Source organism: Homo sapiens, chromosome 1, assembly GCF_000001405.40.
Source record: "Homo sapiens chromosome 1, GRCh38.p14 Primary Assembly".
NCBI lineage: Eukaryota > Metazoa > Chordata > Mammalia > Primates > Hominidae > Homo > Homo sapiens.
This window is the reverse complement of record NC_000001.11, coordinates 118,185,229-118,211,686: the sequence shown is the minus strand read 5'-3', so window position 1 is coordinate 118,211,686 and position 26,458 is coordinate 118,185,229. Positions and strand designations below refer to the sequence as shown.

General features: G+C 38.4%; 1 long non-coding RNA gene across 2 annotated transcripts; it reads right to left on the bottom strand.

The window, feature by feature from the left end:
• Positions 1 to 4,635: 4,635 nt before the first annotated feature.
• On the bottom strand, positions 4,636 to 26,457 carry LOC105378930 (uncharacterized). Of its 2 annotated transcripts, XR_947746.3 has the most exons (4): positions 25,874 to 26,457; positions 25,406 to 25,532; positions 15,291 to 15,560; positions 4,636 to 5,248 (listed from the first exon to the last, which is right to left on the bottom strand). It is a non-coding gene; the product is annotated as an uncharacterized LOC105378930 (long non-coding RNA). The 2 variants fall into 2 exon arrangements; XR_947745.3 differs by lacking the exon at positions 25,406 to 25,532.

Here is a 26,458-nt window from a genome sequence, read left to right as displayed (position 1 = left end):
TCCTAACACAAAGAAATAAATGCTTGTGATGATGGATACACCAATTACCTTGCTTTGATCATTATACATTATATGCCTATATGAAAACATTACATATACTCCATAAATATATACAGTTATTATGTATCAATAATAATTTTTAAAATATAAATTTTAAAAATGAGCTAAAAATTCTGATATTTAGGGTGTTCTGGCAAAGACATTATTTTGACTGCCTATTTCATGATTTGGAGAAAAACATACCTAGTAAGTTATCTCTCTACCAAATTTTTTCTCTGCAGAAATTGGGAAATAATTAAGAAACTTATGGAGTTCTCATTTACTAAGGGTCCTACTGTTTCATTTCCAGCTGCCACCTTGACTCTCTCTGTAGAGACTTAAAATCAGTGACGTGCTATTAAACTTTTTCTTCCTGTGTCATAATTTTGCTGAGGCCTGGCTGCTTGGTTTTTATAAATAATTTTTAAATTTTATTTTTAATTGACAAGTAATAATTGTATATATTTAAGGAGTATGATGTGATGTTTTGATATGAGTATTTAACAACTACCTTGCCAGGAAAAACAAAAATGCCATGATTTGTAACATTAGACAATTTCTATGGTGTAAATACTTCTACCATGGCCAATGACAAGTTATCAAGGTGATGTCATTAAACGTAGAGTTGGGAAAAAATGTGCACAATCCAGGGTAACAAGCCAGTACAAGGCAGCTCCATACACCACACAACTGCCTCAAACCCCGGGGCTGCCAGATCCTAAAGAGAACGCTGCTCTCACCAGAGCAGGTCTTCAGTCTTCCTTGCTTCAAGCCCAATTATCCCTGTATTAGTCATGACTAATTAGTCACAACTAGGTTATGCTGCATAACAAATTAGCCTTGAAATCTTAGTGATTTAAAATAACAAAGGCTTGTGTCTCATTTATGATGAATATCCAGCATAGGTCCATGGGAGAAGGATACTCTGCTTATCAAAGTTACTCAGGGTTCCAGGCTGGTGGGGACTTTGCCATCTGGAAAGTGCTGGTGTCAGTGAAGGAGAGCCTGGAGATTTGCACATAGGCTTTTCACCAGTTCAGCTTATGTTTCATTGGTCAGAACTAGGCTCATGGCCCCACCTAAGTGCAAGGGATTTGGCAAATGCGAAACAGCAGATGGAATGTTTGGTGAGTACCACTGTCTCTATTACACCCATGATGATTTCAGCAGGCATCAGAACCTCTTGATAATTCAGGACATAACACATTCAGGGGAACCAGTAGGCTTAAAGGAAATAAAGGACCTGACTGTGAATGCCTCAGGAAAATGAGAAACTCAGCAAGAATCTTCAAACACTCATTTTTTTACTCTTGATAGATATTAATGTGCTAAACCAATCATTCTTCTTTGACTGGAAAGGAAACTTACAGCTCAACAAAAATCCTAGGAAGGTTTTGCCCTGGTCCACTTTGCCATACTTGCAAGATGATGCAAGTCATCATGAATTTGCTTGTCTAAATAATAAACTAGCAATTTGAGGTTTTTCTAAGTCTAAAGCCCAGAGCCCCTTTGCAGGAGGATAGAATATTCCTGGGAGAAAAACTCCTCAGAGTCCCAGTCTCTTTGAGACAGGGAAAGTCTAAGACTGGAGAGACTGTGGGGTCCCAGAGACTCTTTCCTAAAACCACAGTGTTTCATTCCCATTCAACAGACGTGTATTTTGCTTGCATCCGCCTTGCGCAGTGTTGGTGGGGGAGGGTTATGCTCCAGGAGTGCTCTGTGCATACACTCACTTGCTCTCGCTCCCTTGTGAGCATGCCAGCGCCTCTCCTCTGCCCAGGCTTGCATGGGCCCTCCACATGTTGCTCCTGATCTGCTGGTTTACTGTTCAAGTTCCAGCATGTATTCTTCACAGTGTGATATCCCACCCCAGGGTGTTCTTCTTCATGAAGCAAAGGGTTGAGTTACAAAAGCCTGCAGTTGCGAAAGGGATGTGGAGGCTTCCTCTAGGCCATTTACAGATGGGAGAGCATCAGGTTCTTCAAACTCTTTCAGTTTTTCCTATGTCTCTGGGTTGATCAGACGCGGCAATATTTTAATTATCTCTATTCTGAAAGCAAATAGCTACAAGTCTAGAGCTAGGAAAATACACCAAAGCAGGTATGAAAAAAATAGTGATTTCAATCTAACTTCAGCCCTTAATTAATTATGGGCATGTGGACAAGCCTCTAGCATCTCCATTTCCTCATTTACACATTGAAGGTTGTACTACAGTGATAGTTTTCACACTTTCAGGAACGGATTTGCATAAGGGAAGAGAAGCAAGTGGGTAGGGCTTCAGGACCCCATCCTGATTTTCAACCCAAGCAGATAACTTTTTTTTACCATATTAGGTTTTAGAGTACATTTTTGTTTTGTTTTTAAAAATGGCATCATAGCTTCATAAAAGTTGTTCTTAAGAAAATGTTTCTAATATTTTTTAAGTTTAAAAACCACTGGAGTAATTCAACTGCCCGAGAGAGCTATAGAAAATAAAGTGGACTTGTAGCACATGTGTCCCAGGAGATAAGGCTCTATGGCTTACGTGGCACTCAGGTAAGACATGTCCCTCTCTCACATAAATGGTCAGCCAGGCTCCCAGTTCTTCCACACTGTCCAGACTTCCATAATTGCAGGCTTCCAGTCAAGCCTCTTCATCTACACCCTGCCAGCATGTTACAAAGAAGCTCAGACTATGTAAGCAACATGAAGCTTAATGGGTAGTAGGACTTCCCTGAAATTAAGGTAAAAGACCGCAGCCTGCCCAGAGCGCATGTGGTTTGGAATATTTCCACTGAATATTAAATCATACAAGAATTTTCACTCATCTTCATCTTGGAGGTCACAACATGACTTTCCTCTAATGAATTCTTTATATTGGCAGCTCTTCTGTTTTCCTCCCTTCCTCCCCTGGCTCCTCACTTCCACCTCTACCCTCCTCCCCGTCTTGCTGGGAGCAGCCCTCTCTTTTAGTCTCTGTGTGGGAACATATGGTAATACTTTCCCTTGATTTAGGCCTTGAATTTGGTCTACACCTGTGTAGACCTTCAAGTAATGGCTCAGCAGGCATCGCAGGAGGGTCATGCTCCAGAAGTGCTCTGTGCATACACTCACTTGCTCTCGCTCCCTTGTGGGCATGCCAGCACCTCTCTTTCTCTCCCCAGGCTTGCATGGGCCCTCCAGATGTTGCTCCCGATCTGCTGGTTTACTATTCAAGTTCCAGTGATGTATTCTTCACAGTGTGATACCCCACCCTAGTGTGTTCTTCATAAAGCAGAGGGTTGACTTACAAAAGCCTGCAATTGCAAAAGGGAAACAAAAAGAGAACTGAAAGATAAAAAATAATGGAAAGAATTTTTTTTTTTTTTTTGAGACGGAGTCTCACTCTGTCTCCCAGGCTGAAGTGCAGTGGCATGATCTCCACTCACTGCAACCTCCGCCTCCCAGGTTCAAGCCATTCTCCTACAAGTCCTCAGCCTCCCAAGTAGCTGGGACTACAGGCGCCCACCACCACGCCCAGCTAATTTTTTTGCATTTTTAGTAGAGACGGAGTGTCACCATGTTGGCCATGCTGTCTCAAACTCCTGGCCTCAAATGATCCACCTGCCTGGGCCTCCCAAAGTCCTGGGATTACAGGTGTGAGCCACTGCACCTGGCTGGAAAGAAATAATTTGTACTGGGGGAGTTTATCTACCACAAGCACTATCCTGACTTAATCTTGTGAGGGCAACATGGTTTGCATCTCATAAGTGAAAAAACAAAGCTCAGAGAAGTCAAATGATATGTTCAAGGTCACAGAGCCAAGGAGTGGCAGAACCAAGATTTAACAACAGACCTTCTTATTTCAAGCCAAACATTCTTTCTTACTTCCCAAGCAGTAGTTATTTATTTTTGGAGCTATCCAGCATATAATAACTATAAACCCAGGTACTATAATAGGTGCCTCGGAGACATGCTCTCATTTTTGCAATAGCACAGCAAGGTGGGTTTTAGTATAGTCAGCTTATAGATTTTACAGAAAAGGAGCTCATACAGGTTACCTGCCCAAGATCACACAGCCAAACACAGAAATGATCATGAAGCTTTCTTCCCCCAAATCAGTCACTCTCCAGGATTTTCAGGCATCAACAGACCACCATCGCATTCAATGCTTTCATACCAGTGAATCCTTACCTTAGCAAACCAGGCCCATCATGATCTGGTTTCTGTCCATCCTTCTTTCTGTTCCCCCATTTATACCAATCTTTCCCACCAGATGAAGCTCCTTGTGGTTCCTCAAACTACTGTATCACCCTAGTACATTATACATGCTGTTTCCTCTTTCCATCTTTGTCTACTGCTAACTTCTACAATACTCATCCTATGCCCCATTTTGTCAGAAGCCACCCACCATGTGTCTCACCACCAACCATCTCATCACAAAGGCAGACTTCATTACCAGTCCTATTGCTCTTGCAGCACCCTATGAATACCTGTACCAAAGCACTGAAAACACCATTGTGTGATTGTCTGCTGAGTCAGCTATCACCACCACAAGGCCCAATCCTCCTTGAAGGTATAGGACACATTTCATTTAACTTTGCATTCCCAAAGCCTACCATAATACCAAAAAGAAAGTAGAATTTAGAAACTTTATTAAATGAATAACAAAATGGGAAGGGAAGGGAAATAAAATAAGAAGGGTAAAAGGGTAGATGTGAAGGACTAAACTCAGGTCTGTCTGATTCTGAACTAGACAAGACTACTACCATTCCATACCCAACCCAATGCTCCCCACTTTATCAAAGTTGTGACTCTTCTCATTCTCCCTTCTCTTTTTAAATTCTTTTCTTCTTTCCTTTTCTTTTTTTTTTTTCCTTTTGAGACATGGTCTTGTTCTGTCAGGCTGGAGTGCAGTGGCACAATCACAGCTCACTATAGCCTTGAACTCCTGGGTTCAAGCCATCCTCCCACCCCAGCCTGCTAAGTAGTGAAGTTGCAGGTGCACACCACCACACTCAGCTAATTTTGTTTGTCTGTTGTTGTTGTTGTTTTGTAGAGACAAAATCATTGCCCATGTTCTTCTCTTTCCACTCAGGTATGGAGGCCTCCATTCTTCTCTATGGCTGTCAAGACAGCACATGTGGCTTTGCTCATCATCAACTAGCTCCCTTCTTGGATTTTCCAGAGTTTTCCATCTGACTTCTTTTTGCATTTTTCTGTTTGAATCCTTCTATCCAAGAGAGTTCATCTAATAAAAACAAAAATAAGTTAGATTCTGATATTACTAAAGGACAATATCTTAACAATGTCCTCGCCAAATAAATATTTAGGGTTGAACAGGATTTTTAATTTAGAAAACAACCTAATATAGCTTTTGGCACTTCAGATTAATTTATCTGTGGAGTATCTTCCTTGCAAAAAAAAGTTCTGTATTTTAATCTTTTAGTAACAAACTGCACTTTTAAACCACTTTCACTATATTTTTCATATTATAAAATATTATGTATTTATTGTAGAAGATATAAGGTATAAATATACACAATGAAGAAAATTCTAATAAATCATAATCATACCATTCAGAGATAATCACTCTTATTTTAGTATTATCCCTTTTATGCATATATAATTACAGCCATGCATCACTTAATGACAGGGATGCATTTGAGAAATGCATCAATTGAGCAATTTTGTTGTTGTGCACACATCACAGAATGTAGTTACACAAACCTACTTGGCATAGCCTACTACACACCTATACTGTTATGGCATAGCCTATTGCTCCTAGGCTACAAACCTGTGTAGCATGTTACTATAATGAATGCTGTAGGCAATTGTAATACAATGGTAAGTATTTGTGTATCTAAACACACAGAAGGTATGAATTGCCCTGTGATGTTGAGATGGCCACATCACTAGGCGATAGAAATTTTTCCACTCCATTATAATCTCATGGAAATGCCACCATACATGGAGCCCACGGTTGACCAAATGTTATGTGTGTATGACTGTATTATAAGAATAGCTAATATCTACTCTAGGAATGCTGTGAGCCAGCACTGTTCTAAGCATGTTATGTGGATTATTTTAGCCCTCAGAACAATCTCATTAGATTGGCAAAATTATTATCTCCACTTAACATATGGAGAAACTGAGGCATAGAGAGGTGGCTTGCCCAAGGCTACATACATATTAAGTGGTAGAGCTGTTACTTGAACAGAGGCAACCTAGCTCCTGAGGATGTGCTTGTATCCCATAAAATATACTGCCTCCCACACTGATATAAACTTGAGATCAGACTGTGCAATCTATGTTGGTAACTTGCTGATTTGTAGTTAATATACCTTGAAAAGTTTCCATGTAATTTAATATTCTTCTGAAGCATCATGTTAATGAGTGCCTAATCTTTCATCATTTTGATGTGCCATTATTAATTAAACAAGTTTCTATTGTTAAAAGCTTAGTTTATTTTCCAACCTACCATAAACATACTGCGACCAACAACAGTACAACTAATTTTTTACTTACAACTTAGAATTGAAATTATTGGGTTAAAAGATAGCAACTTGACACCTACCCACCACTCACAGCCTCCAATGTAGCTCAAAAATAAGTAAATAAATAAATATAATGAAATATCCCAGTAATTGACCACTACAGTTGCTGACTAGCACAGCCTGCATTCTGGGGCTTTTCTGCCAAGTTCTTCCCTATTCTTGGAGCTGGTCATAATAAATGGATAAAAAAAAACATCCTAAGCCAGGCATGTGCTGTTGTCAAAGACTGTCCACATACTTCTCCTTGGACCAGTGCCACCACCTGCTGCTGGGGAACATGCCTCTCTCTGCCTTTCTCCTCTGTCAACACCACACCAGAATGAGTTATCATTTGCAGTTCAGCAGTTGGTATCACCAACATAGAGGCCCTTCCCATTTGGAATCCTTACCATTGGAATGACAGCAGGGAAGAGGAGGTGCAGAAAGTTGCTAGAGGAGAGGGGGATCCCTCCAAGTCAACCTGTCCCATTAACCTACATAGCCTATCCATGGAGGACTCAGAGGAGGGAAACAGCAAAGGCGACTTTTAAAGAGACACTCCTTGGAAAGTGGTGATCCTCATTTAGGACAAGGAGATCATGTAAAATGACCTCAGCGACAAAAAAAAAAAAAAAAAATAGAGATAAACAGCACAGCATGTCTGAGTGTTAATTAAGATGGTGAGGATCTTAACTGGAGAGCACTTCATGACCTAATTAAAATGAAGAAGAAAAAAATTTAGAAAACAACACACTATGAAAGAACACAGCAAATACCGATGAGGTGGCTGGCATCCTGTGAGTTTTCTGTCAAACCATTTTGTCATAAATTTTAGAGCCTCCTCATCTGGATGCCACACGTGGAATGATGAGTAATGCTCTGACACATTTATTCAAGCATATTTTATTGAGTCTTTAAAACTAACCAATCTTACCAAGCACTTTATAAAACTCTTTTCATACACATTATCACGTCTTATCCTCCTAACAACTCTGTGGGGAAATTACTATTATTACTTAATTATTATTTATGAGTTACCTGAGACTAACGAAAGTTAAGTAGCTTACCCACAATCACACAGCTAGAACTGGGATTTGAACATGGGCCTCTTGACTCCAAATCCTCCAACACCTACTATGTGCCTAACAAGGCAGGCATCAAAGACCAGCGAGCCCTTAAAGAGATTGCATGAAAGTCCGTTGTGGGAGGAGACTGCCTTTTCTGTGCTTGGGACCAACACCCGCAGCAATCAACTGAACGAACAGTAAGCCCGGAGTTGTACTGTGTGCCTGACACTGACCCAGGAACAATGGAAACAAAGAGAAAGAGATTGTAACAACTGGGGGATCCTTCCCTTAATCATTAGGATTACCCAATTAAGACATTGAAGCAATTACCAAAAAGAGAAGTTGTTAATGTTGGCTAATTAATGAACCTTTCGTAAAGGAGGCAAGGCTTGATGTAAGAACAAGAGAGAAGGTATCATTTCAATGATGGATCAGCATGAGCAAAGTCCTGGAAATACTGACTAGCTGTGATGCTGCGCAAGGGATGAGGAAGATGAAGAGCTATGATGTGAAGAGCTATTATTCAAAGACAAATTTAACTGGAATACAGTGAATGTGTTAAAGAGAAGAAAAGAGGGATGGGGAGAATGGGACCAAATTATAGAAGGCCTAGAAAGCAAATGAATTCTATCCTTTCAACAAAGATTTACTAGGTTCCTTCTATATGCTAAACCCTGGGGATAAATAAATATGAATAGAGCATGGTATCTTCAGAAGTAAGGAGTAACAAAATGAAAGTTTATCTCCAGATAACGTATAATCTCATAACCAGTAGACAGAGCAGAAACAAGTAGGCAACAGAAATGTTACAGATCCACCCAGAATGGCAAGGTGGTTTTGGGGATATTCTCTATGGTAGGCTACAGGTAGTACTTTCAGAAAGAATTGGGTATGAAAGAGTTCTGGTGTCAGTGAAAGGAACTAGCTTTTACAGAAAGATTCCAATGTATGGGAATATCAAAGAAGGCAGAGTAAGGGGCAGGAGAAGCTGGAGGAGAAAGGATTCCAACATGAGAGGAATGTAGGAATGTATTGTTACCTAGATCCTGAACAGAATAAGAACCCAGGAATGGGGAAGTAAGGTAAAAACCCAAATACTAGAATTAGGGCAAAGGAGCAGCTCTTGGAACCAAGGAACGAGGCAAAAGCCTGGTGATGGGAAGCTGGCTGCAAAGTCAGTCCAGTCCCAGAAGCATGACTGTCCACTGGACATGTGTCCCTGCCCAAATCTCATGTTGTAATATAATCCCTGCTGGGCACAGTAGCTCACATCTGTAATTCCAGCACTTTGGGAGGCAGAAGCGGGTGGATCACTTGAGGTCAGGAGTTCGAGACCAGCCTGGGCAATGGCTTAGTAGAAACCTCATCTCTACTAAAAATACAAAAATCCCAGCTACTCGGGAGGCTGAGGCAGGAGAATCACTTGAACCCAGGAGGTAGAGGTTGCAGTGAGCCGAGCTCATGCCACTGCACTCTGGCCTGACCAATAGAGCAAGACTCTGTCAAAAAAAAAAAAAAAAAAAAAAAAAAACAAAGGAAAGAAAAGAAAGAAACCAGAGTTTGAAGGTTTCTTTTTCTGAATCAGAGAACAGTTTCACCCTATCCTCCCACTGATCAGCTTCTTTATTGCTATAACTTAGAAAGAAAGAAAGAGAAAGAAAAGTCCCCAATCCCCAAAAGGTGAGACCTGGTGGGAGCTGAATTATGGGGGTGGATTTCTCATGAGTGGTTTAGTACCATCGCCTTGGTACTATTCTCATGATAGTGAGTGACTCCTCATGAGATCAGTTCATTTAAACGTGTGACATTTCCCCCTTCATGCTCTTGCTCCTGCTCCCACCATCTGAGATGCCTGCCTCCACTTCAACTTCTTCCATGATTGTGAGCTTCCTGAGGCCTCCCCAGAAATAGATGCTAGCATTATGCTTCCTGTACAGCCTGAAGAACCATGAGACAATTAAAACTCTTTTCTCATAAATTACCCAGTCTCAGGTATTTATTTATAGCACTGCAAGAATGAACTAACACAGCCTGGGTCAGAACTGAGTCTCTAGATGGAGTGTAGGCCTATTGGAAAGCCTAACAGAATTCCAGACCCAGAAGTCAAACCCATCATGGTGCATATTCCTAAAATTTTCCAAGAGGAGCTTCTGTAATCTGTCTTAACACTGGCGATTTTATATCTGGCCTGTCTTTATTTGAATGCATTCTTGATTCCAATCACACTGTACTCATTGCTGTACCCTACCCACATGCCAACTGACCAGCACACCACACACACACACACACACACACACACACCACAGTAATTTCCTCTTCGAAATTTTGCTTGGGCCAACTCTTTCACCCATGCAATGTTCTCTATCTTCATTCAAGTCCTTTCTAGCTCTTTTCTGAAACTACCAGAGTTTGGAGGTTTCTTTCTCTGAATCAGAGAACAGTTTCACCCTATCCTCCCACTGATCAGCTTCTTTGTTGTTATAACTTAGAGAACGTTTTATAAGCCTGAATGTTGCTTCCTCATTTTGGTTACTGTCATTTAGATTTAGTTTCTAGGGCAATTCCTTCTGAATTTCAACTTGGGAGATTGGGAAAATATTTATCCCTTCTCCTTTCCCAGGCTGAAACAGGGAGAGGAATCCTTTTTTCCTGACATTAAAACAGCATCCACAACAAAAAACGAGATAGATCCCAGTGAGAAGCGAGAGGTCAGAAGAGGAGATAGAGAAAGGGAGGTTTCTGACTAATATGGGAGATGAAGTAGAAGCATTAGTTGCTAGAATAAAATAAAACAGCCACGGAGATTTTATATGTGTGAGATAGTGTTTATCAGAGACCCTCAGCACAACCTTATTACAAGTTACTGGTGAAATATATTTATAAGGGTAATGGAGAAGAGGGAGGAGGAGGAGGAGAGAGAGGAGGGAGAGGGGGAGGAGGAAGGAGACGGGGAGGAGGAGGAGGAAGGGAAAAGAATAAAGAAGAAGAAATGAAAATGAAAACCTAATATTTACTGAATTTATATGTGCTAAGCACTGTAATAATGTTCCTTTTACCAAGGCTTCCTACAATCTGTTTTTGGCACTATGGGTAAATGGTGTTTTTCATAGTATATGTAAAAATATTTATTGAAGTGAGAACCAGTAATTTGGTCTTCTTTTTGGTGAGTGTATCCCTGTGAAAACTTATAAAAAGATTTTTCTCATTGTGCCTGCCAACCATAATCAGAATCATGATTTTAACCAAAATCATGGTGACAATATGCAATACATGAGGAGGGAGTGACTAACTCAATTTCAGAGCTGCAATATTCTGAATTGGATATTTCAGCTGAACTTAAGTCTTATGAATTTCTGCAAAGCAAAGTTTTGAACTCTTATTTATCTCAGCGTGAATCCCAATTAGCAAGAATTAAATTGTGTAAGTACATGTCTTTTCAGATAAATACCTATCTTAAGGCTCTAATGAAAATGAAAAGGGTAAGTAAAGTAAAAAATAAATATTCACTTTATGTAAAGCTGGGAACATTCTGAATTTGAACTTAGGGGTTTGGAAAATATCTGTCCTTTCTCCTTTCCTGAGCTGCTAAATAGAATCTAATAAGTATAGAACTATCCGTATTACAGTTGTGATTTACAAGTATTTCAGACAGATACTTTTACATCAGCATTTCAATGGACACTGGACATGCAACTCATTGAGAAAAGTCAGGTATTTCTAGTTTAAGAAAGTTTGACAGGAAGTTGAATAGAGTTCTTCGATTATTCCATACTATGCCTGGATATAAATGCAGAGGCAAAAGGCAATTATAAAGGGAATCTGAATCAAGACAAAATTAGTTTCCCCTTAGCCAAACAAAGAAAATCCAAAAAGCTCCCCGACATTCCTCCACTTGGTTGCTACAACTAGTCTTTCTGTTTTGAAAATCTAAGCCCTAGTACCTTCCTCCTCATGCTTTTCGTACTTTTCTTTTCTGCTCTCTCCTACTTCAAAATGCTCAAGAAATGCAACACAGAGTCATTATACCACCAGCAGCCCACTCCATCTCTTTCTAACCACCCTCCTTCATATTTGTTAGTGCATTGTTCATTTCTCAAAGGCAATGTAGGGCCCAATACACCAGAAAAAAAAAAAGAATAAATCCAGTGCATAGTTCCACTCAAATCTGAATTTTTATATCTATGTTTTTCCCACAGTAAGTGACTTTGTACAGTTTGTTGCTTAGTAATGTGTGACCTTTGACTAAAGGATTTCCTCTGCCCCACATATGTGCTCAGTATCCCTCTCTCATGTGGTAGATAATGTCTTTGATGGCAATGGCATTTATTCCACACTGAGATTTATTCAATCTCAGTCTCAGAAGATCCTTCTGTTGTATTTTGGCTTATGTGTGTTGTCTAATTTTTGAGAGGGAGGGGATTAGGGTTAAAGACCTTGGGCTCTTCCTAGGAATAGTCCTATGGTTGAATTTTTTAGATATTTTACCACCTTATATAGGTTCCTCCCTTATATCCAAATATTTCTATCATTGGACAGAATTAGTTCATTTTTAGGGTGGAGAAGCAAAGTATAAAAATCAATTTAAGGAAAAATAAATTCATGCAAACAAATTCACATTAAAATATACATACTTTCTTGGGTGTTATAAATACACATAAGCCTGCAAATATTGAAGCAAAATTATCAGACTTTCACCAATTGGTCATAGGAATTCTTCAATGTGGGGATAATTAATTTAAAAGGAAAGCAGTTACATTCTGTTTCATAGTTTTATTGTTTCATTTTTAAAGCTGCCTTGTCAAGGATAGACAATTTGAAGAAAGATTATAAAATTTATGTTTCTGACAGCATGATACACTAAATACAATGAACAACCTTCTTCTTACAAAATACTTTATGATTCTGAATAAAATAATTTTTAAAAATATATAATTGAGCTGACAAGTATAGAAGGGAATTCATCAAAGGCCAAAAGACAAAGTGAAAGCAGGAAACCAGAAAGATAAAGAAGCATCAAAGTGACCATGAGCTTCCATTTTGGCAACCCTGAGAAAAGTGGAGGGACTAGAGAAAATAGCCATAGCCTCTACACATAGGCAATCTATAGCAGACTCCCACATAGAGCTGAGACCCAAAGGAGTATATATACCCTTAGTAAAACGGAAAACTGAAATGCATACGTACATAAATCCCACTCCACAGACAATGACAGCAAAGAAATTTGCTTGTCCCAGCTCTGGAGCAGAGTGAAAAATAAATTTTTCCTGAGATTTCAAGCCCACCTTCACACAGGTTTGTAGTAAGTGATCCACAAAACTTCAAATCAAGAATTCGCATACACATATTTATGAGAGAAAGACACCTTCAATCCAGGCCTGAAATATTTCATTAATATTAACTTATAGAAAATAATAATAAAATGCACAAGGAGACAACAGTCCTTGAATAAGAGTAGAAACAAAGAAGATATATTCAAGCACACCTAATGCTTCTAATGGTAGAATTATCAATTAAGAATATGGAGTAAGTATGCTTAATATGTCAAAAGAAATAAAAGAGAACAGTAAGTGGATCAAGGAATAAGATACTCTCTAAACAAAGTACCAGGTAGATTTAGAAAAAGTGAATCATATAGAAGTACAAGAGCTGAAATTTTAAAAATAAATAAATAAAATACAATAAAATGTTAAACAGCAGATTAGACAGATAAAGAATTCAAAGAACATCATTTTAAAAAAACTATTCATAACACAATTAAATAGAAATCAAAATTAAATAGATAACTGGGGGAAACTCACCCACATTTGAAAACAAAATCAAAATGCTAATAATTCATGGGTCAAAAAATAAATTACAATGAAAATTAGAAATTGTAAAGCACTAAATAATAATAAATCCTCTATATATTAATGCTTGTGATATGAAGCCAAAGTAGCAATTAGAGGGAAACATGAGGGCTTAAATGATTATATTACCAAATTTAAAAGGCTAAAATTAATGTGCTAAGCGTTCAACTTTATAAATTTGAGAACAGAATATAGAAAATAAAAGTAAGGAAATTAAAAAGGGCAAAACATAATGAAACAGAAAACAAACACGCAATAGAGAGGATCAAACAAGCCCAAAGTTGTTATTTGAAAGACTAGTAACATTGACAAATTTCTAGAACATTTACTCAAGAAAAAAGAAGGCAAATATAATGACCTTCAGAGTGAAAGAGATATAATGATAGATTTTCAATGAACAGCAAAGAAAAGTATTAAAATCATTAAAGCTTTAAAAGCATGAAAATCTTTTCAGTAAACAGAAAAGAGAAGCATTAAAATCAGAGGTACTTTACAGTTTTGCATCAATAGAGATTGTCTTCATAAGAGAATAACACAGGTCCTCCAATTCGAGATAGCAGTAGGTGATAACAAATCCCATATGAATTTACATGTGAGTGGCAATCATAAGATGCCACCCTAAACAAAGCACCTTGGTAATACCGTATGATTCTTTACATAATCCTATACTCAAAAATGAGATGTGAAAGACCTTTCAAATGTGCAACACAACTGGGAGGTACACTAACACTACTCTTATTTAGCACTAAGCCACTCTTCTGCTGGAGTGTTTTAACGAAAGGTGAAAACCCCACAGGGCAAAGAGCTGACAGAGGAGAAATGAGGGTAGAGAGGAAAACGAATGATTAATAGAAAGTAGTGCCATCTTGGAAGTGGGAGAATGGACTATGGTGGGAAAATGCAGAGAGATATGGAAATAGGCTGTTGTGATTGATGTCATTCCTTGGTAGTACCAAAGAACTAAAGTAAAAATGTAACATGTAAACTGGATTCTAAGCTACATGAGAGTAGGGATAGTATCCGCCAGACTCTCTAATCCTCAGTGCTGAGCACAGGGCCTGGCATATAATAGACACTCAACAAAATTTGTTCAATGAATCAATAAGTGAATGAATGAATAGCTAATAAAATATTAGCAGGCTAGAAGGAAACATGTGGTACTGGATTAGAGTGGGAAATATCAGTGTGAACTCGTGTTTACCTTAATATAGACAGAAATAGATAAAGAAGTAATTTTGTGTATATATATATATGTGTGTGTATACATGGGTTATTTCTTAAATCAGTCCACTGAGAGGGCCTAGAAACAAAAGATACTCCAGTAGCAATCAGCATGTTCAACCATTCTCCAGGAAAGAGAACCAGGGCTCCTTGGAAAACTGGCTGCTTCTAGGACAGGGTCAGGTAATATGCAAGATGAATGAGGCTGAAGCATCTGTAGTGCCAGAAAATAAAGAAAAAAAATCCAATAAAGGGGTATATTAAGGAGACGCAGAGCCAATTAAAAGACCTCGCAAATATCAAAGCTAGGGCAACTGACTGAACAATAAAGTAAATAAATATTATAGTACATTGGGAATACAACCCAAAGGATAAACATTCATGAGTCATTACTGAGGTAAGCAAATGACTGAATAAATAAATTAATGAGGTAGAAAATTTCCCATACAGAAAAATTTCAAGTTATTTATGTAGGAATAGATACTACCCCCCTAAAGCATGTTGGAGTGTAACTTCCCATACTTTAAGGGTGAGCTGCACGTAGTGACTTCCTTCCCAAAAACACAGTAAGGAAAGGTACGGGGAGGGGAGTAACTTTGTAGAGAAAAAGCCTAATAAACTACCTCAGCCAGGACATCAAGGTTAACATCATCGATGTTAATTCATGTTAACAGCATGTACCCTTGACATGATGTGATGAGAATGGCACTTCACATCTTTGGTCTTTTTCTCCAACCTTGTAACTCCAGGCTAAGCATGAGAAACACTTCACAAATTATCATACCACCTCAAAATTGTCAAAGTCATCAAAAACAAAGTTTGAGAAATTGTCAGTCTGCAGGAGCCTAAGGAGACATGACATCTGAATGTAATGTAGTATCCTGGGTGGGCTCCTGGAACAGAAAAAGGACATTGGGTTAAAACTATTCGTTAGCATATTAATATTAGTTCATTGTTGCAACAAATATACCATACTTAATTTAAGATGTTACCAATAGGGGAAACTGGATGCGGATACATGCAAACCCTCTGCACTATCTTTGAAACTTTACTGTAAAACTACAACTATTCTAAAATAAAACATTAATGTTTAAAATATTAGCTAACATTTATCAAGGGCATAGTATGTGCTATGAACTGTTCTAATCATTGATAGCTACGACTTTCACCTTCACAACAGTCCTACAATGCAAACATAATTATTCCCATTTCATTTTTAAAAACAAAACAAAAAAGTGAAGCAAAGAGGGGTTAAATAATTTGCTCAAGGTCATCAAACAGCCTACAAGGAGCGGTGAAGGGAATTGAACCCAGGAGAAAGAATGTTGTTCTCTTAGCACAAGATGCCCTGTGAAAGTGCCTCTCAGCCCTGTGATTGGATTCTCCAATTTTTAATTAGCCTCCTGTGTTGAAGAAGGAGTATATGACAAGTTGAACAGCTAATATCAGGAGGAGTTTTAGAAACTGTGATAACAAATAGCTTAATAGGGTTTCAAACGACTACCAGACTGAACAGGGAGGGAGAAGAGATTATGGGTATAAATGTGAGTAACTTAAGCTTTATAAAAACAATTTCCATAAAATGAGGAATTTACTTAGTGGGATAAAATTGGCAATGGTTATTACCCAAAAGTATAATAGTGGAAAATAGCCACACTCTAAAGGATTAAGACAGCCGGCTCAGGTGAAGTGCATACAGTTATTCAAAAATAATCATAAAAGTTTTAAAATGTGGATTATTGGCAAATTGTGTAACTTGATTTTGAACAAAAATAGAAGCCTAAAGATTATAACTAACCAGCTTTAAGAAAGAAAGAAAGACAGACAGAAAGAAAGAAAGAACCATGGGAGCATAAAGAAGGTACTGCTATTTACAAAACAAAAAGTAAAGCACAAAAATCAAAGCATAACAGACAATGAAGTTTTGTTTAATATAGTTGAAATATAAGAAAGAGCCAATAAAGCTGTTATTTGGGTGGGCAGAGTTAGAAACAGTTGGCTCCCATAAAGGAAATGGCAGAAGACCTGAACAGATTCATTCAGAAGTGGAGCGAGACAGAGAAACCAGCCTACACCACCACCTTTAGAAGCATTATTTGTTCTGCTGATAGACTTGTGCATTGGCTGAAATTTTGTTTTTGAATGAGTCTTTTCTTAACGTTTTCCTTTGCTTCCTACTGTCTGACTTCAAGTGCTTTCTTTTTTCTCATATCCTTTCCTTATATTCATTTTTGTCAACCAAATGGTAAAACTTTTGTTGGACGTTTTCTGAGAATGTGTATTTGAAAGCGGACAGAAATGCAATATAGGGCCTTTCCCTCAGTATGACATAATCCTTCCTCCCTTTTCAGACTGATGCATTCACAAAACATGCTTAAAGTAGATTTTAATAAGATGATTTCCTTACTATTACATTTTAAAACTTAAAAGATGCCAGTGTTGTGAAAATTTCTTTATACTGTGCATAGAAGCCAGTGCTCACTGATATCTTTAAAAAATTACAGGCCGGGTACGGTGGCTCACGCCTATAATCCCAGCACTTTGGGAGGCCAAGGCGGGCAGATCACGAGGTCAGGAAATCGAGACCATCCTGGCTAACACGGTGAAACCCCGTCTCTACTAAAAATAGAAAACAATTAGCCAGGTATGGTGGCAGCGCCTGTAGTCCCAGCTACTTGGGAGGCTGAGGCAGGAGAATGGCGTGAACCCGGGAGGCGGGGCTTGCAGCGTGCTGGGATAGCGCCACTCCAGCCTGGGCAACGCAGCGAGACTCCGTCTCAAAAAAAGGAAAAAAATTACAAATAAGAAAATGTATACAATAAAAACTGTGTATTGTAATAGATATGATTTTCGCAGTTTACACGATTTAAACAAAATTTTTATTTTTATATTTTAGGGATACATAATATTTGCACATATTTCTAGAGAACGTGATATTTTGATACAAGCATACAATGTGTAACGATCAAATCAGGGTAATTGGGATATCTATTACCTCAAACACTTATCATTTCTTTCTGTTACAAACATTCCAATTCCAGTCTTCTAGTAATTTTGAAATATAAAATTAACTATAGTTGCCCTATTGTTCTACCAAACACTAGATTTTATTCCATCTATCTGTATTTTTGTACCCATTGACCAACGCCTCTTTATTCCCCACCAGTCCCTACTACCTTAATCAGTCTCTGGTAACCATAATTCTACTCTCTATCTCCATGAGATCAATCTTTTAGCTCCCACACTTAAGTGAGAATATATAATATTTATCTTTCTGTGCCTAGCTTATTTTGCTTACTGTCCTCCAGTTCCATCCATGTTGTTTCAAACAACAAGAGTTAATTCCTTTTTATAGCCAAATAATATTTCATTGTGTATATGTACCCCATTTTCTTTATCCACCAATCCATTGATGGACACAGGTTGATTCCATATGTTAACTATTGTGAATAGTGCTACAATAAACATGGGCATGAAGACATCTCTTTAATATACTGATTTCTTTTCTTTTGGATATATACCCAGCAGTGGGATTGCCAGATCATACAATAGTTCTGAGATTTTTGAGGAACCTCCATACCGTTCTCCATAGTGTCTGTACTACTTTACATTCTCACCAGCAGTGTACAAGATTTCATCTTTCTTTACATCCTCACTGGCAACTGCTATTTTTTGTCATTTCGATAAAGCCATTTTAACTGGGGTGAGATGATGTTTCATTGTGATTTTGATTTGCATTTCTCTGATGTTTGGTGATGTGGAACAATTTTTCATATACCTGTTGACCATATGTATGCCTTCTTTTGAGAAATGTCTATTCAGATCTTTTGCTCACATTTTAATCCAATTATTTGACATTAAAAATTTTTTTTGCTATTGAGTAGTTTGTGTTCTTTATATAGTTTAGCTAACAATCTCTTGTCATTTAAATAGTTTGCAAATATTTTCTCTCATTCTGTGGGTTGTCTCTTCACTATTGACTGTTTCATTTGCTGTGCAGAAGCTTTTTAACTTAATAAGATCACATTTATCCCTTTTTGCTTCTGTTGCCTGTGCTTTTGAGGTCCTACTCAAGAAATCTTTGCCTAGGCCAGTGTTCCAAAGCATTTCTCCAATGTTTTATTCTAGTGGTTGTCCAGTTTTCCCAGTGCCATTTATTGAAGAGACTGTCCTTTCTCCAGGGTATGTTTTTGCAGCCTTTGTTGAAAATAAGTTCACTGTAAATACATGGATTTGTATCTGGGTTCTCTATTCTGTTTCATTGGTCTATGTGTTTTTATGCCAGTACCATGTTGTTTTGATTACTATAACTTTGTAGTTTAGTTTAAAGTCAGGTAAGGTAATATTAATACCTCTGTCTCTATTCTTTTTGCTTGGGGTTGCTTTACAGCAATTCAGAGTCTTTTGTGGTTTCATATAAATTTTAGGATTTTTTTTTTCTATTTCTGTGAAGAATGCCACTGGAATTTTGATAGGGATTGCACTGAATCTTTAGGTCACCTTGGGTAGTACGGACATTTTAACAATATTAATTCTTTCAGCCCATAAATCTACCACATATCAAACTATCAGAAATGTAATTTTTTTAAAAAAATCACTCTTACAGATCAGTTTGACCCAAGAACAGTAGGAAAAATTACCTTCATAGGAAATGCATTCAAGTGAATGTAGCTAAAGTGGAGTAGGTAACTACTGCTGACCTTTTCTTCCCTAAATCCAGCAAGCATTTTTCAGTCTTTCTCACTTGACCTCTCAGTAGCATTTAACACTGCTGGACACTCCCACATTTTAGAAATGCTCTCATCCTGTCCTTTGGCTCCAGTGACACACCTCTTTGGTCGCATATCTATTTTCTTTCTCACAACCACAGTCTCCTAAAGGTTCAGCTCTAGATTCTGCTCCCCTGTTCATTTGGTGGTCTCTCCAGGCAAACTCAACCTCATATGCTGATGATTCACCCATGTCTATCCCTGCTGTGAGCACCAGGCCCACATATCCAATTGCCTGAGACATCTGGATGTCTCAACGGTACACACACTGAACATGTCTAAAACCAAAATCATAATTTCCTCACCTACCACCCAACCCCTCCAGAACCTTCTTTTTCTAGCATTCCCATCCCTCTAAATGGCAACACCGGTCAACTAGGAAATACAATTTTATTTAATCAGATAAACATTTTCTTACCAAGAGATGAATATAGTATAAAATACTAAGAAAGAGCATTTTATAGTTATTAGGTAAGCAAATGATCTGTGAGCTTGAAATATAGGAGGAAATGAAGTAATTGGGTCCTACTGAATGATAACCCCTTCTCAATAAGTGGGGCACTATGGTATCCTACAGCCTTTGGTTGGGGTTCCCTCCATAACAAGATATTACACGAAAATTGGAATCTAGCAAAGCAAAATTAATTCATGGAACTATGGTTTGGCATACATGGTAAGACAGAAAAAGGTGAGTAACACAGTTGCATTTAACATTTACAAGATCATAGTCAGAGACAAACTTCCTAGGAAGTCATTTGGAAATCTTCCTAGTGGTATTCTGAATTTTTTGAAGAAGGCTGAGGGTTAGGCTGGAAAAAGGAATGAGAAGTTGAAGACGGATGGGTAAGAAAAGTGGTAGACACCACTCTTCACCTAAGCCACATATACAGTGCTACCAGGTCCTCAGAGCCCCATTACCAATCATCTGTTCTCTCCAAAAGAATGTTCCATGATCTGGCATAATATTACTTGGTGTAGTCTGTTAGATTGGAGTAGGTTTACCTCAACTATAGCTTTTGGACCTTGTATACAGCAAAAAGAAAGTTATTATTTAACATAGCACACATTTATAAGTAACAGACATCTGATAAAACATTAAGAAATCAAACATTTAGGTAAGCATTTAGAGAAATAAATTACATGAGTTATGGATTTTGAAATGGTTCCCTAAGGATTCAGGGCAAATCCCTTCACTGAAGATATTAAAATTAGATTCAAAGAAGGACTTGAGAGAACACTAGAGTGAAAACTCCCACACTAACAAATATGAAACAGATGACTTTTAGCTTTGTCTATTTTTACTATGTACAGTTGTTATTTTTCTGATTCATTAAATGTAGATTTGGTATTCTAAACTCTCTCACTACAAATAACATAAAAATTAAATCAACAGCACTTAATTATGGTTCCAGACACTTACAGATATATGACAAGACATTCAAGGCCAAAACTATAAACTACAAATACTGCTTTTATCATTGACAGAAACTGAGGGTTCTTAGGGTAGTTCTTCTCTGGAAAGTGATCTACTCCCAGGCTCCCCAGAATTCACACGGGATTACAAATTGCAAGCACTGCAGCTGATTTTAATTGCCACAGTGATGCATAGGGAGAGATGTGATATCTGGAGTAACTGGCTTCTAAACAATGAGGGGTTTTAAAGATTAAAGTCAACACTTTAAATAGCACTCAAAAATAAATAGGAAGCTAATGCTGACCATAGAATGCAGGTATAATATTCTCCATATGTTTTGGACCCTGTAGCTGAAAGACACCTAGCCCTTTGTATCACACACAATAAAAACTCAAAGACAGGGCATTATAGCACTCTATTTTGAAGGTTAGAAATGCAAAGATCATGGTGTGAACAAGACATATGTATACCGAGAGGTGTTCTTGGATGTAGGATACCAACTGGAGAAATCAGTAGACATCTGTGAGGCCTTCTTAACCCAAGGCAAGTTGGTTGCTGCAGCTAAATGGATTTTGAATACCTGGAATCCTGGCCTAGAAGTGACTTGGTCTATAGTTCCTGCTGTTACCTGACAACAATGGAAGTACTGGATGCATCAATAGTTGGCTAAACCTTTCAAGTATGAAAAGTAATATGGCTGACTTCACACCTGAGTAAGAGTGAATTATAAGATCAAAGCATAATACTTGAAGAAATAACTTATTTAGTAATCATAGCCTAAAGAAATCATGCATCCCTGAAAGTGGACAGTCTTTGGTAAGCTAAACATATCAAATGCAAACTCATACTGGAAAAACTAAATCAAACAAACCAGGAGTAACCCTGCCAATGTGAAAGAAAATTTTCCAAATAGTATAGTTTTGTTTTAGCCACTGACATATGGGAAAATTTATGTAGTAAAGTATATGCTTATAAAGTTTCAACTTATATTTAGTGGGGGAAACAATTTATTATACCAAAAAAGCATAAACGTATGACAGATGGTAATGCTTTTTTTCTGTTCTTGGCAGGGTCCTTTTTTGGCTGAATGACTTTTGCTACTTCAAATTGTGAACATTGTCATTCACACCTATTTTCTGAAATTAAACAGACCAATTCTATGACGAAACCCCTTATAAATTTGGTTACTGTATAATATCTTCCCATTTTGTATCATAAATTATCTAGAGCACCACTTTCCCTAGAATAATGGAAAAGGCCAAAACTGGGCAAAAAGCATTCTGTAATAAAACCTTTATTTTAAACTCCTTAAATCAATTTTGGAAAACCTTTTATATTTAAATGTTTTCTGGTAGGACTTTACCAAGGAAACTATAAAAGATTATATTAGAAATACACTCTTCCATTCTGAAATATTTATTTTTGGCTTTTAAAATGTTCAACTCCTTTAAATCATTTTCAAAATTATAAATGATGTATATGGATAGCTAGGTGATGGATCTAGTTGGTTTATCTTCCGAAAAATAGGAACATTTTTTCCTAAGTATAGGTGATATAAGACTAGTTTCTTGTATTACTTAACTATGCAAACCATTTGTTTAAAGTAAGAAATTTATTTACTAGATAAAGAAGCGAAAGAATGTACTGTATATGCAAATGGAAAGCAAGGTAAAGGGTGAGATCGAGATCTCACTAGATGCATGGGGTAGTGGGGAGGTAGGGATTAGATCTTCCTGCCTCTCACAGTGGCCAGCATTGTGTATTGCCTCCTTGAAAGTAACAAGGTTTTTCTCTCAGGCAGTTTCAGAAAGGCTGGCTGGTGTTAGATTTATTAACAGGTGATTCTCAGATGAAAATGATAAAAAATGTTAGGGTAGTTACGGTAACCCTTGCTGCTGTAGCAAACCCCAGTACTTCAGCAGCTTTAAGAAAAATGTTTAATTCTCACCTACATAATAGTCCCAAGCAAATGCTTTTGGTGGGAGGAGCAAGATGATCTTCAGGGGAAGGAGAGACCTCTGTGTCACAGCAATCATTCAGAGATTCAAGGTTTTCAATGCCACCCCAATATCAAGCAAAAAGGGTATGAAGAATGCTGGGGGACATTTTTCAAGGCCAGGCTTGGCTAGAACTCAGTCACATGTTCACATCTAAGAATAAGGAAGGCCAAAAAATGTCTGACTCCCATATTAGGAGAAAATAAAAGGAAATGTCTGATGAACAACTGGATAGTTTCTGTCACAATAAATATTGCAAACATCTTACTGCTGCCAATATTGTGGTTGGACAGCTGTCACTTGTTAAAAAAAATGGCTAGTGACACTATCTCTGCAATTTTTAAATAACACTTAATTTTACTTTTTTTCTGCTTATTCTATTTTTTCCTCTTCTTATCTGCAACGTATTTTATTAATCATCTGCTAGTGATCTGGCAAAACTGATTGCAGGTAATGGTTTATTTTGAAGTGTGCGTTCACATTCAAGAAGAAAGAATATTAGTAATGTAGCGAGACACGCACAAACAGCTAAATTTTTTAATAAAATATCCCGGAATGCCAACAAACTTTTTACTACGTTTTAAATAAAAAGGCAGGACTTTTTTTCCCCCAGTTTAAAACTATGAGAACTTAATCAAAATTTAGAATGATCTAATTAATGATTAGGTAGATTTTTTTTTTTTTGGTCTGAAAGAGACTCAACTTTATTTTCTAGCCATAATACAAAGAAAATTTTCATCTTACAAATGCTGAAAAAATTTTGGTGAGGAACAAAATTTTGGAGAAAATGCTATGAAAATTAACAGCAGCCTCGGTGTTGTTATAGACTCTCAGGAAAATTCTTTTCTGGCAGATCTCTCTCTGGCATTACCATGCATCAGTTATTTTATTTTCATGACAAAAGAGGGCTTCCAGATGTAAATTATTTAGCCTATGGCCAGGCTGCCATAGGATCTATCTATTCCCTCCCAAGAAGATGAACTGTATTTATTCCAGCAAGAAATAAAAACTCGTATTTTTCTGTAAAGTTTCTGTGAAAGACTGTTTCTAGAAATTATTTTTCTTTAATACAATGGTCCCTTGGTATCCACAGGGAATTAGTTCCAGGACCCTTCACGTTCTCAGATAGAAAAATGTCTGATATTCAAGTCCCTTAATGATGTGTCTGCATTTGGTTCCTGCCGGTGGGTTCATGGTATCGCTGACTTCGAGCATGAAGCCCAGGCTTCCACGGTGTTATAGCTCTTAAAGATGGCATGGACCCTGTCCGGGTGCGGTGGTTCACGACTGTAATCCCAGCACTTTGGGAGGCTGAAGTGAGAGGATCACGAGGTCAGGAGATGGAGATCATCCTGGCTAACACAGTGAAACCCCATCTCTACTAAAAATACAAAAATTAGACAGGTGTGGTGCTGGGCGCCTGTAGTCCCAACTAGTCAGGAGGCTGAGGCAGGAGACTGTTGTGAACCCAGTCTGCCTCCGCTGGGAGGCAGAGCTGGCAGTGAGCCGAGATCCACCATTGCATTCCAGCCTGGGAAACAGAGTGAGACTCCATCTCAAAAAAAAAAAAAAAAAAAAGATGGCACAGACCCAAAGAGTGAGTGGTAGCAAGGATTTTTGTGAAGAGTGAAACAGCAAAAGCACAAAGCTTCCACAGCATTGAAGGGGACCCAACAGGTTGCCGCTGCTGGTTGGTGGTGGACAGCTTTTATTCCCTTATTGTCTCCGCCCATGTTTTGTTTTTGTCCTATCAGAGCGCCCTTTTTTCAATCGTCACTACGATTGGCTACTTTTAGGATCCTGCTGATTGCTGCATTTTACAGAGTGCTGATTGGTGCATTTTACAGAGCACTGATTGGTGCATTTTTACAGAGCACTGATTGGTGCATTTTACAATCCCCTTGTTAGCTACAGAGCACTGATTGGTGCATTTTACAATCCTAGCTACAGAGTGCTGATTGGTGCATTTTACAATCCTGTTGTAAGAAAAGTTCTCCAAGTCCCCACTCAACCCAGGAAGTCCAGCTGGCTTCACCTCTCAATAAAATGGCCTAGTATTTGCACATAACCTACGCACATCCTCTCCTACACTTTAAATCATATCTAGATTATTTATAATATCTAATATTATGTAAATGCTGTAAAATAGTTGTTATGCTGTATTTTTATTTGTATATTTATTTATGTTTTAATATTTTGGATCCAAAGTTGGTTAAATCCAGGGATGAAGAACTGTGATGATGGGAGGGCTCACTCTAACTATATTAAAGAATTAGGGTGGAAAGATAAACTTCCTTTCATGGTCCAAATTACGAACAAAAGTTGAAGCATCATCATTAAAATTTGCCCCCAAATGAAAAAGGATGCTAGTGGCTGGATAGCACTATCCTCCTTCCCTCAATTTATTCCTCAAAGAAATTAAAAGGGTTAGCAATTAAAAGGTTTAGAACATCCCCCGTGGAAGGTCACCCGTTCATCAGGTTGTGCCCAGGGAAATTAAGTTTCTGGCTTGCATCACCTCACTCATCTGGGCCACTGGGATAACTGAAGCATCTCACCTCTAGGCAAAGTGCAGGGCCTTAATGGCTAGTTAAGCCCTGGTCAGTGCTGAATTCCATATGACTAATGAGACCGCAAGGCACCTTTGGTTGCGCTCTGCCCCAGGGTGTCCTCAAATTTGTCTCACTGCAATAAAAAACAAAAGTAAATCTAGCTCCAGAAGGGGGTATCCCTCATTTTGGCAGGCCTAAAACAGTAGTAGACAGCAGTGTAGCAGTTATGCACACTAGATCTGTGACTCAGATAATCCTGGGATCTAATCCTGGCACCATCAATCAGACACTGTGGGAATTGGATAAGGTGGTTGTGAGAATTAAATGAAATAATCTTGTATATAGCATATAACCAGTGCCCAAGAAACAATGGTTTTTATTACTATCATTATTTTGGGAAACTTGTCCAACCAGGATATTTTAGATATTGATGAGTGCAGGGTGGGAAAAAAGGGGAAAAAAAAGTCTACTTACCAATCAATAAAAGGCAGTTTAAAGGACTGGAGCTGTTTGGGCAGATAAGTACATTAATCCCACCTACAGTTAGATAAGGGGTCACGTGGAAGGGTGATTGGACTTGTTTAGTAAGGCCCCAGAGGCGGAGGCTGAAACAGTGCAGAGGGTAGAGGTCAAGGAGAGACAAATTTGGATTCATATAAGGAAGCATTTGGGGCAGATTAGAGCGGTTGGGAAAAAACGGCATGGGCTGCCTCCTGAAGGGGTCAGTATTCCAATCTTGGTTACTCAGGATCGGAAGAAATCTTGATGGAGGAGTCCTGGATGGGATTCCAGAGATTTTGAGTTTCTAGACAACGCCTCAGACCGTAGAAGAACGTAGCCCGACCTGCGAGGCCAGCCTCGTCCTGCCCTCCTCCAGTTGTGCAGCTTTCCTGCTGAAAAGTCCTAAAATTTGACCGGGGGACTGGGAACCCCGCCCCCAAGCTGCCGCGCGCTCTGAAACTCCGTTGCTGTGGAGACGGAGGCGGTTGACCCAAGGATTCCGAACGGTGTTGGGGGAGGGGAGCCGACGTGGTTCAGGAACTGGGCGTGGCTTCGGTT